Source organism: Homo sapiens, chromosome Y (genome assembly GCF_000001405.40).
Source record: "Homo sapiens chromosome Y, GRCh38.p14 Primary Assembly".
Lineage (NCBI taxonomy): Eukaryota > Metazoa > Chordata > Mammalia > Primates > Hominidae > Homo > Homo sapiens.
The window spans coordinates 26,235,795-26,252,006 of NC_000024.10; the positions used below are offsets into that span (position 1 = coordinate 26,235,795).

At 37.8% G+C, this 16,212-nt stretch overlaps 1 non-coding gene across 1 annotated transcript; it reads left to right on the plus strand.

The window, feature by feature from the left end:
- The first annotated feature begins 11,589 nt into the window (after positions 1 to 11,589).
- LOC124900507 (small nucleolar RNA SNORA70) lies at positions 11,590 to 11,727 on the plus strand. Its single transcript, XR_007068485.1, has one exon. It is a non-coding gene; the product is annotated as a small nucleolar RNA SNORA70 (small nucleolar RNA).
- Positions 11,728 to 16,212: the final 4,485 nt, after the last annotated feature.

Below are 16,212 nucleotides of genomic sequence, written 5' to 3' on the forward strand. Positions count from 1 at the left end.
TTGCACCGTGAGGAAGCAAATTGAAGCTCTGGCTCACTGCAAAGAAAGTTATCTGTCCATTAAAGACATTACTGGCTGGATCTGTAAGTATAAAGCTTACCAGAGTTGCCTAAGATGCCACAATCGGGAAAATGACAGTGGAAAGTGGTATAAAGGTGAGGGAAAAGAAAGAAGGGCCAGAAATGAAGAGAGAAAACAGACAGTAGTGCAATTGCAAGGCTACAAGACTCAGTAGTACAGGGAAAATGAAATTAAAAAGAGAGGAATTTATTTGCATCGTGTTAAAGGATTTTGGATTTGACCTGGAAGAAACATCTAAAATTTAATCTTTTGCACTCTGTTGTTACCACTACACTAACCAAAATTTCTAGGCCAAATGTTTTCTAAGCCAACGGGTTTATCCCCAAAGTAACAACCGTCTTTTCTCTGGACTCTTGGAAACTCTAACCTGTTTTCCCTTTTTCCACATGAAATTTATACTTTTCACTTCAAACTTTCTCAACATGCTATTCTTTTCCCTCTAATTGCCTTGACAACTTCTTTACTCCTATGATTAACTTTGTGAAATTAAATCAAGGGAAGTGATCAGCTACTTGGAAGTTGGTCTGAGGAATATAGGTTGAAAAGAGTTTTACAAACTCATTCTTTTAGATTGAGAGTGAATCAGAACCCCTTTATTAGGGATCCTGGAAATTACTCAGTCTTCCTTAAGAAGACTGATAAATTCTATCATAAACTAGAATACACTGTGTCTCAAAGGCCAACTGTTGCCAGGTGCGATGGCTCACGCCTGTAATCCCAGAACTTTGGGAGGCCGAGGTGGGTAGATCACCTAAGGTCAGGAGTTCAAGACCAGCCTGACCAACATGGTGAAACCCTGTCTCTACTAAAAATACAAAAAATTAGTCAGGTGTTGTGGGGGGCACCTGTAGTCCCAGCTATTGCACAGGAGGCTGAGGCAGGAGAATCACTTGAAACAGTGAGGCAGAAGTTGTGGTAAGCCGAGATCGTGCCATTGCACTCTAGCCTGGGCGACAAGAACAAAACTCTGTCTCAAAAACAAACAAACAAACAAACAAAATAAAAAGCAAATTATATTGGGAATTCAGATCGTATATGATATATATTATGGATATAGCTTATATAGCTAATCTCATCTGATAAGGTGAGTCTCCATTAGATCTTTTCACTTAAAGAAATACTGATGTAAACCTAAATACTAACATTCCCATGCTTGGTAGCATGACTGGCTAGGGAAAGGTTAGTGACACTTTTCTGATATGTTGAATGAAAGTCACCAGTTTATATTATTCCTTAAAGGCATGGCAAGAACAACTTGATCAGACACAGTTTCCTGACCTGTTTCTGTAAGATTCATACAGTGATTTCACACTCACTGGCAATTAGAGAGGGAATGTAAACCTCTTTTACTCCAAACTGGCCTCTTTGTCTCTTTTTACTTCTATCTTATGTCCACTTCTAGGAAGTAGTAACAATGACAAACTCTTTTATATTTTATAAAGTGTTTTAACATATATTATCTCACCTGATCCTCTCAACCACACTGAAAATGTATACTACTGTACAGTCATGACCTGCATAACTGATGTTTCTGTCAACAAACCACACATACAATGGTGGTCGCATAAGACTATAATGGAAGTGAAAAATTCTTATCACCTGGTATTTACTTTTTTTTTTTTTTTTTTTTTTGAGACAGAGTCTCAGTCTGTCGCCCAGGCTGGAGTGCAGTGGCGTGATCTTGGCTCACTGAAAGCTCTGCCTCCTGGGTTCACGCCATTCTCCTGCCTCGGCCTCCCAAGTAGCTGGGACTACAAGCGCCTGCCACCATGCCCGGCTAATTTTCTTTTTTTGTATTTTTAGTAGAGACAGGGTTTCACCATGTTAGCCAGGATGGTCTTGATCTTCTGACCTTGTGATTGGCCTGACTTGGCCTCCCAAAGTGCTGGGATTACACGCATGAGCCACTATGCCCGGCCTAACCTGGTATTTACTATACTATATTTTTAATCATTATTTTAGAGTGTACTTCTCCTTCTACTTATATATAAAAAAGTTAACTGTAAAACTGCCTCAGGCAGGTTCTTCAGGAGATATTCTGAAGAAGGCATTGTTATGATAGGAAGTGACAGCTCCATGCAGGAAGACCTTCCAATGGGATAAGATGTGGAAGTGAAAGACAGTGATACTGATGATTCTGACCCTGTGTAGGCCTAAGCTAATGTGTGTGTGTCTTAGTTTTTAATAAGAAAGTTTTAAAGTTAAAAAAAAAAAAACAGATAAAAGCTTATAGATTAAGAATATAGAGAAATATTTTTGTACAGCGTTATGTGTTTGTGTTTTAAGCTAAGTATTACTGCAAAAGTGTCAAAACGTTAAATTTTAAAAATGTATAAAGTAAAAAAATTATAGTAAACTAAGGTTATTTATTACTGAAGAAAGAAAAAACTTTTTTATAACTTTAGGGTAGCCTAAGTGCACAGTGTTAATAGTCTATAGTAGTGTACGGTAATGTCCTAGGCCTTCACTCACCACTTGCTCACTGACTCACCCAAAGCAACTTCTAGTCCTGTAAGGTGCATTCATTCATGGTAAGTGCCCTATACAGGTATATCATTTTTATTCTTTTACTCAGTATTTTTACAATGCCTTTTCTATGTTTAGACACACAAATGTTTATCATGTTCCAGCTCTACAATATTCAAAATAGTAACATGCTGTACAGGTTTGTATCCTAGGAGTAATAGGCTATACCACATAGCCTAGGTGTGTAGTAGGCTGTACCATCTAGGTTTGTGTTAAATTCACTCTGTGATGTTTGCTCAGGGACGAAATTGCCTAACAACTCATTTCTTAGAATGTGTCCCTGTCGTTAAGGGACTCGTGACCATATTACTATCTTACAGATGAAGAAAGCGAAGTTCTGAAAGGTTAAGTGTCTTGGCCAAAGACACACAGCCAGTAAAAGGGGAACAAAATACAACTGCCTGAAGAATAAACTTTGGTTGATTAAAGTAAAGTAAAAACAGATCTGAAAAGATCTACCAATTCAAATCCTTCAGTAAAATCCTGGGTATTTGAGACACTTGCAGGAACACATCAGATATACAGAGAAACAGAGAAAAATTCTCCAGAAAGTTGAATGTAAGCTCTTTCTTTCTTCACTTGTCTTTTTGTAGATTTAATTTTTTTCAACCCAGCCAACAAGCATTTATTGTTCCTTTCTGACTGTAAAGATATTAATTCCCCTGTAAAAATAAGAACTGAATGGAAATATTCTTGACCACAGACTTCTACAGGATGAGCTTTGCAAACAGCCACTTGTTTAGAAAATAACTCATTCCAGATAAGCAGGATAGGAATGCTGAGTTCATCTATTTTATTTCTTGTAGGTAAAAAAGAGGGAAGAAAAAAGTCTATAAACTTTAGGGCGTTGCTATAATGGAATTAAGAGCACCAGGTAGTCAGCTCAACAGAGTTTCCAACAAATATAAGAACTATCAAATAGAGGAACTGCATAAGTTTGTTTTTGAGATGGGACATATCTAATGTGTGAATAAACCAATAAAATGTCTCCATGATGTGAATACTAATCATCGACTGTCATTGACTCAACTCTCCCAAAAGTTAGTAAAGGAATAAATTAATGAACCAGTTGAGTAATTTCTACTTTTTCCTCTTTTTATTTTTTTAAATTAAAAAAACCCAAATGGCATGGTTTAAGGGTGATGTTTGATAAAATGCTCCCCAGTGATGATTTCCAATGCTAGCAATATACCATGGTGCTGTACACATGGTTTGGGAAGGTTGTGTATTTGAGGTCAGATATCCTGGGTTGAAATTCTAACCCCTGCTTAACTGACTGATATGATCAAGTTCTTCAGCCTCATTGAATCTTATTTGGTTCATCACCCAAAATAGTGATGAGGATGCTTATTTACAGAGTTGTTATATGGTTTAGGATACACACACACACACACACACACACACACACACACACACACAATCATCCATCACAGTGCCTAGCATGTGGTCATGCTCAATACATGGTCATTATCACAAAAAAAACTTGGTTAACATGCATGTGCATTTATAAAATATATGTAAGAATCTAAATGAAAATCTGAAGCAAAGAGCTTAAATATCAGTTTTTATATTCTATGCACTTATTTTCCTTGTGATTATGTAAAAGGTTACTGAAAAAGATGACAGAATCTTCTTTTCAAATGCTTTAAGAAAAAACTTATCTCTACCTATTTTCCTCCTTCCCTCTTCCCAGCTTTCCTTATTTCTCAGAAGGCAAAGAGCCCTGACAATAAGAGGAGGGTATAGTGGTGAGGTAGTAGCCTGGTCTACTTGGTTCTAATTAGGGGATTGCCTTTACTCAAGGGATTGAGCAAATAAGTAAACATATTGAAAATGGCAACTAGGTTTCTCATTGTTAGAGAAGGCAGACATAAATACAAAAAAAAAGGGAAAGCTAGAAAGAACCCCATGTTGGTATGAACTTATGATTTTCAATATAGAAAGATAAAGAAATAAAGACGTAAATGTATGTGTATATGTAAGCAAATGCATCCATATGTATGTCTTTCCTAGCTCTGTCCACTGAAAGGGGCCTGGGAAGAGCAACACTAGAGCAGCATTTAGCATACCTAGTGCCCAGATCATTGTTTCTGAATGCCACTTTCTACTAAGAGGAACAGGGCTCCCTGGAGAAATGGCTAATTCCAGAGCTGGGGTAAGGAAAGAAAATGAGCCTGTTCTCTTGCACTAGAAGGTGAGAAAGTCCTCAAACAATACTTAAATGATATGACGCAAGGACACAGAAGCCTGCTTAAAAAGCCAAACCTGTGATAATAAGAGCATCATAATAAATAATGACAGCAATGAATTATAACCCACTGACTAGGAACCCATGAGTAGACATTGATATAAGTAAATGAGTGAAAAAAATAAATGAGAGGAGAACAGCTTCTTGCTTACAATAGAATGCCTACTAATAAATGTAGAAGGGGTAATAAAGTTAGAAAAATTACCATTTGGCAACCATGACTGTAAAATCAATCCAAGAAAGAAGTATTAATGGATGTTCAAAGTAGTGGGTAAAAGTAGAGGAGAAACTGGAGTTTACATAATCTCAAAGGACCACATCTCACAACATTTATTAATCACAAAGGAGGAAAAACTAACTTTACCATGGAGAAACCTGGCAGATGTCATCTCAATCCAGTCATCAAAGACGAGACCACTAGTAACGTGACAAACTGACAGCATGAAATGAGAAGAGCACAGTATCACTTCTATGACATTGTGGCCAAAAATGCATAAACTGGGTCTAATCATGAGAAAACACTGAATAAACCTAAACTGAGGGACATATATGACTGGCCTGCTATCTTCAAAAATATCAAGGTCAGCCAGGCGTGATGGCTCATGCCCATAATCTCAGCACTTTGGGAGGCTAAGGAGAGCAAATCTTTTGAGCCCAGGGGTTCAAGATTAGCCTCGGCAATGTCACCAAACCGCGTCTCTACCAACAAAACAAAACAAAACAAAACAAAACAAAAACAAAATTAGCAAGGCATGGTGGCGCCCACCTGTAGTCCCAGCTACTCAAGATGCTGAGGTGGGAGGATCCTCTGAGCACAAGAGGCAGAGGATGCAGTGAGCTAAGATCACACTACTGCACTTCAGCCTGGGCAACAACAAAACAAAACAAAACAAAACACCCCCAAAAAACCAAGGTCATATAAGTCAAGGGAAGTCTAACTAGAGATACACAAAAATTCGGTATAGTGATCCTGGATTGGATCTTTCTGCTGCCATGGACTTTATTAGGACAACTGGTAAAAATGTGAATGTGTCATACTTGTAATCCCAGCAATTTGGGAGGCTGAGGTGGGCAGATCACCTGAGGTCGGGAGTTCGAGACCAGCCTGACCAACATGGAGAAACCCCATGTCTACTGAAAATACAAAATTAGCCGGGCGTGGTGGCACATGCCTGTAATCCCAGCTACTCAGGAGGCTGAGGCAGGAGAATCATTTGGACCTGGGAAGCAGAGGTTGGGGTGAGCCGAGATCGCACCATTGCACTCTAGCCTGGGCAACATGAGTGAAACTCCAGCTCAAAAAAAAAAAAAAAAAGTGAATGTGATAAATAGGTAAAGGATATACAGCAATTCTTTATTCTTGAAATATTTCTGTAAGTTTAATAGTGTTTAAAAAAATAGAGTTTTTTCATCTCACTACAGTGAGAAAAGGGCACAAGGAAGTGACTTTCTTTTTTAATTCCTGACAACTTTGAAAGATAGTCTCTCTTTACAGAGGACTCTAAGATTATATGTTCACCAAAGAATTGGGTTTGCTAATGGAAACAGGCAGTCACTTGGGCTGAAGGTACAATGAGACTCATTATTAGGTTATGAATCAATTTAGTGGCCACAACCAGATCAATAAAAAGTGAATAAACAGAATAGCAAATGTTGGAATGCATTACACATAGTAGACTAAGGTATAGGTATGTTTTTGTCAAAGGTGTTTGAACCAGAGGAACTCTATCTTGAATAGGGGCTGGGTAAATAAGGCTGAGACCTACTGGGCTGCATTCCCAAGAGGTTAAGGCATTCTCAGTCACAGGATGAGATAGGAGGTCAGCACAAGATACAGGTCACAAAGACCTTGCTGATAAAACAGGTTGCGAGAAAGAAGCCAGCCAAAACCCACCAAAACCAAGACGGCAATGAGAGTGACCTCTGGTTGTCCTCATGACTCATTATACACTAATTATAAAATATCAGCATGCTAAGAGACACTCCCACCAGTGACATGACAGTTTACAAATGTCATGGCAACATCAGGAAGTTGCCCTATATGGTCTAAAATGGGGAGGAACCCTCAGTTCTGGAAATTGCCCACCTCTTTCCTGGAAAACTCGTGAATAATCCACCCCTTGTTTAGCATATAATCAAGAAGTAACCATAAAACCAGCAGCCCTTGGGGCTGCTCTGTCTATGGAGTCATTCTTTTATTCCTCCACTTTCTAAATGAACTTGCTTTCACTTTACTCTATGGACTTGCCCTGAATTCTTTCTTGAGTGAGATCTAAGAACCCTTTCTTGGGGTCCAGATTGGACTCCTTTTCTGGTAACAAAACCACAAGGTCCTTTAAGGCCCAAAGGAGATCAACAGTTAGGTGGACATTACCTAGTCTTTCAAAAATGTCTCTGTCTCTTCCTCAAATAAATTTCTTGGTAGGTTAATTTATAAACTTCTGGGTAGGTACAATATACAGTATTTTAGTTCAGATTTAGGTAAGAAGGTGATGAGTCAAGTATTACCAGTTAAGAAGTACAGTTGAAGATCTCTGTTCCTCCTTTTGGAACAGGGCAGTCATTTTCAGTCCATTTATGAATATAAGATCCAAAGAAAATATTTTAATTTTTATTTTCAACTGATACTTTTCTTCCATCAACTAACAACTATTAAGTTCTTATTCTGTGCAAGGTACTATTAGGGATAGCGATACACAAAGTACTGTAAGACATGATTCGTGTCTTCAAAGAGATTATAGGAAATCTCAAAATTTGTATCACTACAAAGATCTCCATAATGTTAAAAAATTAATATCAAGCCCTACTCTTCCATATATTTTACGTAAATAATTTTTGATCTCATACTAAACAAACAATTTGTTTTTAAAGGAGACCATCAACAGCACACAGCCAAGTCGGAAGATAGTCTAGAATTCATAACAGCTTCATTTACTATTCTATGCTTTTATAGTGACGTTTTATTACTGGGTACTTAGAAGGGCCAAAAATATTACTTGGGGGCAGGAAATAAGAAGTTCTAAAGGAAATAGGAGGTTCTTTGTCACTTTTTCTTCTCTTTTGATTTTTCCATCTCAATCCTGTTTTAATTTATGCGATGTGAAAATCCTCCCTTTTTGGGGGTGATGGAGAAGATCAATAATGATAACTCACATTTAATGTTGACTCCTGCACAGATGCTCCTGAGTGAGGGAGACATATTAGGGACTTTACCACAAAATGAATCATTTTAGAGTAAAGAGTCAGCCTTAATTCCACATGTAAGAAAATGCAGAACAGAGTCACGCAATTCTTTCAGTGTAATAAAGGGCCTTTGACATGTGTTCTTTGTGAACAAGCAAAAAAGCTAAAAATCAGACCAACAAAATATATCCACTAATGGCTTATACATAGTCTAGTGGGTTGCTGGGAGTAGGGAGAAGAGATGGTGCTATTTTGGAGTACAAGGCAGCAGCAGAGAGGCAAAGCAAGACAGGATATACAAGTTGCACAGCATGGAGCTCACAATAACTTAACTAGCTGACAAAATGTTCCCAATCTTGCTCCCATATATTTAAATAATCATGCCCTAGTGTTACGAATGTTAAGTCTCAGAAATTCATTTAAGGGTAAGATATTATAAAGGTCCTTTAAGAAAATCATTCTGCAAACCTGTCCTAGAATTGGTTCAAGAGTTTAGTATTTTGCAATTAAATTTAACTTTAGCAATGGCTTACAAAAAGCAGAAATGAAAACCTATCTCTTTTTAATGTGAACAATTCCCCATTCACACTTTTTTTGTAGGCCACACAGGCTAGAAACATCAGTAAAGGTATAAGGGGCAGGTTTGTCACGGGGAGGGGAAGGGGCAACACTTACCACAAGAGCTTTTGAAAATATGTGGGGACACTGATTGTCACAATGATTGGAGGGTGCTATTGGCATTTCAAATGCCAGGCTCAGGGATGCTGAATGCTTGCTATTCTGGAAACAGACCCACATAGTGAAGAACTACCCTGCCAAATGCTCATAGCACCTTGACGAGAAAAAAAAAATGCTTGAACTGATCAGAAGCACTAACAGGGTATATTATATCTCTTTTGATTAGCTTAAAATTAGCAAAAGGACTCTATATAGTGTCAGTTAAACACTGAATAAGTAGCTTTAAAACATATGATTTATCTGAAATTTTTGTTAAGACTATAAGTATTTAGTACAGTTAAGAGTTAGGGAGAATTAGGGAGATAGTTTCCTCAAATTCATCAGATATTACAATTTAAATATGTGCAGTAGTCCAGAAATTATATGTCAAGAAAGGTGTTTCAAAAACTTAAGGAGAAAGGTACGGAGGAGAAAGGTACAGAATTAATTTTAGAATAACTTTTAAAATAAATAAATCCATTTAGTTCTCAAAGATATCTGTGATAGTTAAGTTGTGCTTGTAATCTGTATGCCAGGCCAAACGTATTACTGCCTGGTAGCAACACACTTAAATTTAAGCTCACAAGTTTGATAACGATCAGTTTCTTGAAAATGTAACCTATAACTTAAAGAAGGTTCAGAAATTCTATGTAAGTTTTTAAATTGTCATCAACTTGATTTTTAAAAATATTTTGTTAGTTTTCTTTAAAGCCTATAAATGAGGCTGAATGGTCCACCAGGTGTTAAGAAAAATAATTATTTCCCACTTTTAGTTAACTGCAGAGTTTTAAGGAAAAGGCCCTATGAAAAGTGATCTATGCATGATTCATCTAGAAATTTAAATATTTCAACTAGTCTTCATAGTTGTGAATTTGCAGTTGATCCAGAAATAAAGCCTGCTCTGTTCATCTGGGTTTACTAAAAATACTCCCAAACTTAACATCTAACTTCTTTTTTTTTTTTTCAATAATAACATAGATCCTGGAAGAGTATATGAAAGACTCTTTCTGGTCAACAATGAACTGGCATGCACCCTTTTTGCTTTGCAGATACTTCTGACATATGCAATGTAAATGTTTATTCATTTATTAGTTGTCTATGTGCCATCTATATACAGTTTATCTTCACGTTCTCAGGTAAACATACTTTAAAATAGTTGAAGATGCAAGATGCCATTGTACTACTAGGTTTACCCTCTCATTTCCTTTATCCTCAACTTATTTTCTTTGTGTCATCTGAATCCTCCAGATATCTAACTTTTCCTTTTTATGCCTTTCACATTTCCACTGGAGATCACTTTGTCCCCTTCATTAAGGTTCTGTCAGGAGAGATTTAAGATTTGGTTCTAGCTAAAAAATATGGCAGTAGCTCTGAAGATGACATAAAAGCTTTTCCCTATGCCTAAGATTTCAAATATATGTATACATTTGAAAGAAAAAACAGGGAGAGCATTATTTTTTTGTCCAGATTATTTTTGCTCATTGTAGGTAAAAAACAATCTGTGCATATATGTAAAAAACAAAAACAAAAACAAAAAAAACAAAACGAAAAAGAAAACCTTTCAGTCCCTACATAATAACTCAGAAATAAAGTTTCTTCAGCCAGCTATGGGGATGGGGGAAACAATTCCCAGGGTACAGATGTTAGTGGTCCTGTCAACTCTGTCATTCTCACATTGCAATGCCAATGCAATCCCACATAAACACAATTATGCTGAGGCAAACACTGTTGCAGAGTATGAGAACTACATATGCACTGTTCTAAGAAACACAACTTGTGAGGTTCTTGAGGCATGGCAAGGTTTGTGGCAAACAGGACCAATGTGAGAATCAAATTTATTGGATTCCTAGAGTCTACTGCTTAGCATGCAATACAGTAAACAACTAAGCTCCATGATGACTGAATTGACTGGCATACAACAACCACAAATTGTTCTCTTTGAGCACAAAGGGCATGTAAGAGCTAACAGATGAGTGTCCCAGGCATGGTTCTGCGTAGTTTGTATGATACTGTATATGATGTTACTAACTAGGCTGGTCAGTTTGGGTGGTGATAACAGTGTGTTACTGGAGTTAAAGTTACAGAGTCAATCTCTATATGCTTAGTTAGCACCATATTAAAACAAAACAAAATTTTTTCCATGCCACAGACTATTAGTGACCTAGCTATCTTACGGATACATGCTGTTGGTCATAATACAGACTGAGAGTGTCCAAAACCCATCATTACAACTGGAATTAAAATAACTGGAATCAAAGATCAAAGCTGGTCCACACAGAAGGATGAGCACGAAGTCAAAGGTCCAGTCCTTAAAACCTATACCACCTAGGTATAATCAGATGTCTTTTTCTAGTGCTGTTTGTAGGAAGTATTCAGACTTTATTTTGGTTTTTCTTAGCCTCAGTTCTTAGCCTCTTTTTGTTGTTACTAAACAAGTTGGAGGCGAAACAATCTAGTGTAGATTCTGGTTTCCTTCTTTTTATTTTCTGAAACAGTTTATGTAAGACAAGTATTATTATACTTGTTCCTTGACAGTTTGATAGAATTCATCCCCCAAATTACTCTAGGCCTGGTGTTTTTGGCAGGAGGTTGGGGAGGTGGTGGTTAAGTATGATTAAATTTCTTTAAAGGTTATGGGACTTCTTTGTTTTGCCATTTCTTCCTAAGTCATTGTGATATTTTATATTTTCCCAGAAGTGTCCACTTAAACTAAGTTTTCAAGCTTATTGTCATAAAGTTGCTCAAAATAATCTTATATTTTAAATATGTTTATCTTAATTTTGTCCCTATTTCTCTTCCTAATACTATTTGTTTACACCTATAGTTTTTCTCTAGATCAGCTTTTCAAAGGTTTACTGCATTTTACCCTCCCTGATGGGGCTCAGTGTGCGCAGCTGGAAAAAGTAGATGCCCTGGTTATGCATGCAGCTCATTTGTTGTACATGTTGCTTTAAGGGACCTTGAAGACTCTTCCCTCTCCCTATTGTTGCCAAAATAACTGCCTCTGATCTGTTTTTGTTTGCATCCCAGGCCCCAGACTAGCATGTAAGATGCCTTTGAGAAGTCCTAGAACACTGCAGTCAAGGTGGACGTTGGAAAATAAAAAGGCTTATTGAATTTTCTATCTTTTCAAAGAATCAGCTCCTGGTATTAACACTATTTCTACTGCTATTCTGTTTTCTGTTCATTAATTTCTGCTTTTATCTTTATTTTATTTCATTCCTTCTACTTACTTTGGGCTTACTCTGTTTTCAACTTCTTGAGTTGAAAGATTAACTCATTTATTTTCACTTTTTCTAATTTTTTAACCTTAAACATGTATTTAAGGTTATAGTTTTCTCTCTTTAGCTACTTTACAAGATCTAATGTGGAGTAATTTCATTGTCGTTCAGCTCTAAATATTTTGTAATTCTCATTATAATTACCTCCTTACCCATGCAGTATCTACAAGGAAGTTTATCAGAAGTATTCTTTTCTTCTTCAGCTAACTTTTTGTTGCCATTACAAAAAAACTATAACCCCTCCATAATCTCAATTCTGTATCTCCACATCCTATTTTTCCAGCTTATTCTTTCTACTAGGGTGATCCTGAACTACTGTGCATTGTTCAACCTCATGGAATCTCCACTGACTCTCATGCTCTTGATGTCCCTTCACTCTCCTCTTTATCGAGATTACATTCCATGATTTATCATTATTATCATCACTCTCCCCTCTCTCCCTTTATAGTGCTTGGCAAAACTACAACCTTGTTTAAATCCAATTTTCTGCCTACTCCACACCTGCACCTGTGCAACTAAATGTGGCTGGAAAAAAACATACAACCATGCTCATTGGTCTCAATTTAAATTCATTACTTTGAACCTTTAGTGGACTCTAATGCACACAAAGATACTTCCCTAGTCCATTTACTTTCCTAGATAAATACTTTACCCCTTTCCCTTTTAACTCAAACACCCAACACTTCCTTCCTCGTGTTCTTTCTTGGCTGCTGGTCTTGCTTTCTACTTCACTAAGAAAATTGAAGCAATCAGAAAAGAACTTCCACAAACTATTACCACATTTAACCACCCTTTACCATCTTCTCACTTGTTACCATTGATGAACCTAACGTGCTTCTATTTGAAGTCAAATCCTTCAACTTGTACTCTAGACCCTACTCAAGGACCTCATTACAGCAGTTCTCCATTCTTCCTCCCACATCATCTTTTTGTTGTTGTTGTTCTCCATTGGTATCATTCTCACAAGCAAACATGTAGCTTAAAAAACACCCTTTTCTGGCTGGGTGTGGTAGCTCATGCCTGTGATGCCAGCACTCTTGGAGGCCGAGGCGGATCACCTGAGGCCAGGAGTTTGAGACCAGCCTGGTCAACATGGCGGAAGCCTGTCTCTACTAAAACTACAAAATATTAGCCAGGTATGGTGGCGGGCACCTGTAATCCCAGCTACTCGGGAGGCTGAGGCAGGAGAATCACTTGAACCTGGGAGGCGGAGGCTGCAGTAAGCCAAGATTGCACCACTGCACCACTCCAGCCTGGGCAACAGAGCAAGACTCCATCTCAAAACAAAAAACATCCTTTTCTTGACTCTCCCCAAAAGCTGCCACTCCATTTCCTTGCTAACCCCCATTCCTGAAAAACTTATCTCTAAAAAAAAAAAAAAAAATAGCTTTTCTCAATGTTTTCAACTCCTCTCTTCTCAATGTGGCTTAAAATTACTTCAGTCAGGCTTTCTGTCCCACTATTCTAACAAAACCACTCTTATCAAGGTCTTAATGTTATCAAAATCAATGGTCAGTTCTTAGTCTTCATCTTATATGACCCTAACAGCAACATTTAACACTGTTGACAACTACCTCTTTCTTGATACATTTTTTTTTTTTCACTCACACTGGAAAGGACACAAGATACTTCTTGGGCCCTCTTCCCTTTTCTGTATTTTCTTTCTGTTATCTGATACAGTCTTATAGCTCTAAATATCATCTAAATACTCTACAGCATTTTGGCAGATCTGTTTAACCAAACTGCCAAAATTTCCAGTTGGAAATCTAACAGTTATCTCAAACCAACATATCTAAAACTGGATTCTGGCCACGTGTGGTGGCTCACACCTGTAATCCCAGCACTTTGGGAAGCCAAGGTGGGCAGATCACTTGAGGTCAGGAGAGTTCTAGACCAGCCTGGGTAACACGGTGAAACCCCAACTCTACTAAAAATACAAAAATTAGCTGGGTGTGGTGGCAGACACCTGTAATCCCAGTTACTCAGGAGGCAGAGGCAGGAGAATCACTTTGAACCCAGGAGGCAGAGGTTGCAGTGAGCCAAGATCGAGTCACTGCACTCCAACCTGGGTGAGAGAGCGAGACCCTGTCCAAAAAATAAAAAAAAAAAAATTGGATTCCTAAGAAGTCATTATATGAAAAAAATACTTCCACGTGCATGTTTACAGCAGCACAATCTGCAATTGCAAAAATTTGGAACAAGCCCAAATGCCCATCAGTCAATGAGTGGATAAAGAAATTGTGGTATATATATATACACCATGGAATACTACTCAGCCATAAAAAGGAATGAAATAATGGCATTTGCAGTGACTTGGATGGAATTGGAGACCATTATTCTAAGTGAAGTAACTCAGGAACTGAAAACCAAACATTGTATGTTCTCACTCATAAGAAGGAGCTAAGCTATCAGGATGAAAAGGTGTAAGAATGACACAGTGGACTTTGGGGACTCAGGGGAAAGTATGAGAGGGTGGTAAGGGATAAAAGACTACACATTGGGTACAGTGTACACTGCTTGGATGATGGGAGCACCAAAATCTCAGAAATCACAGTAAAGAACTTATTCATATAACCAGATTACCTGTTCCCCCAAAATCTATGGAAAAAAAAATTAAATAAATAAATAAATAAGATTGGCTTCCTAGTTTTCTTCCCCAACCTGCTTCATTTGTAGCCTCCCCCATGTCAGTTGATGGAAACTCTATCCTATCAGTTGCTTAGGTCAAAAACCTTGGAATCATCTACAATTCCTCCCTCTTTCTGTCACACCCCACAAGCCCTTCCAGGAAATGTTGGCTCTACCTTCAAATATATCCAGAATCTTACCAACTTTCAACAACTGTATTGCTACCATGTGATCCAAGCCCCTATCATCATTTCTTGCCTGGATTACTGAAATAGCTGCTCAGCTGCTACCTTTGTCTGAAGTCTAATCTCAACACAGCAGCTTGAATGATTCTTTTAAAACTTAAGTCAGATCGGATGGGCATGGTAGCTCACATCTGTAACCCCAGCACTTTGGGAGGCCGAGGCAGGCAGATCACAAGGTCAGGAGTTTGAGACCAGCCTGACAAACATGGTGAAACCCCGTCTCTACTAAAAATACAAAAATTAGCTGGGCGTGGTGGCCTGCACCTGTAATCCTAGCTACTCAGGAGGCTGAGGCAGGAGAATCGCTTGAACCTGGGAGGTGGAGCTTGCAGTGAGCTGAGATGGTGCCAATGCACTCCATCCTGGGCAACAGAGCAAGACTCCATCTCAAAAAAAAAAAAAAAAAAAACTTAAGTCAGATCACATCACTCCTCTACTCAAAATCCTGCAATGGCACCTCATTTTGTGCATAGTAAATGACAAAGGCCTATGACGCTCTACATTCAGATGATCTGATTCTCTTTCCTGCTACTCTCACCTGTCATTTATTTCATGTGTCAGTACTTTCCCACCATATGGCCTTTGCTCTAGCTGTAACCTCTTGCTAGAGGACCTCACTACACTACATCTGAAGAAATGTTCTTCCTTCAGATATCTTTGTGGCTAACTTCTTCTGCTTCTTTAAATCTCAACCTGTCAATAAGATATACTCAGACCCACTGTTTGTATTACAACCTGTACTTTCTCCATCCAATCCTCTTTATTCAATTCTCCTTTTTAGTTTTTTTTCCAAACTGCATCAGTGTCTAACATATTATATACTTTATTATGTTTGTTGTTTATTGTCTGCCTTTTCGTCTTACTCCCTGCTAGAATGTACACTTCAACAGGTCAGGATTATTGTCTATACTGTTGACTAAAGGATTCCAAGAGCCTCGAACAATATCTGGCAAATATTGGACAAATACGTATTTGTTGAATGAATAAGTGAATGTTGATTTTTCATTTAGCATGGTCACAATACACATGCCCTATGTGTGCTATATATCTGTTAGATTAAGCTGGTTAATTATGTTGTTCAAATCCTTTATGTTCTTGAGTATTTTTGACTGTTTGATATACTGGTTTCTAAGAGAGGTGTGTTAAAATCTGCAACACTGACTGTGGATAGGCTATTTCTTGATAATTCTGTCGGTTTTGTTTTATATATTTTGAGAGTATATTTTCAGTATCTAGAGTCATTTTATATCATCTTCGTGGATTGTTACCTATTTATAAGCGAGACATATATTTCTGTCATTTG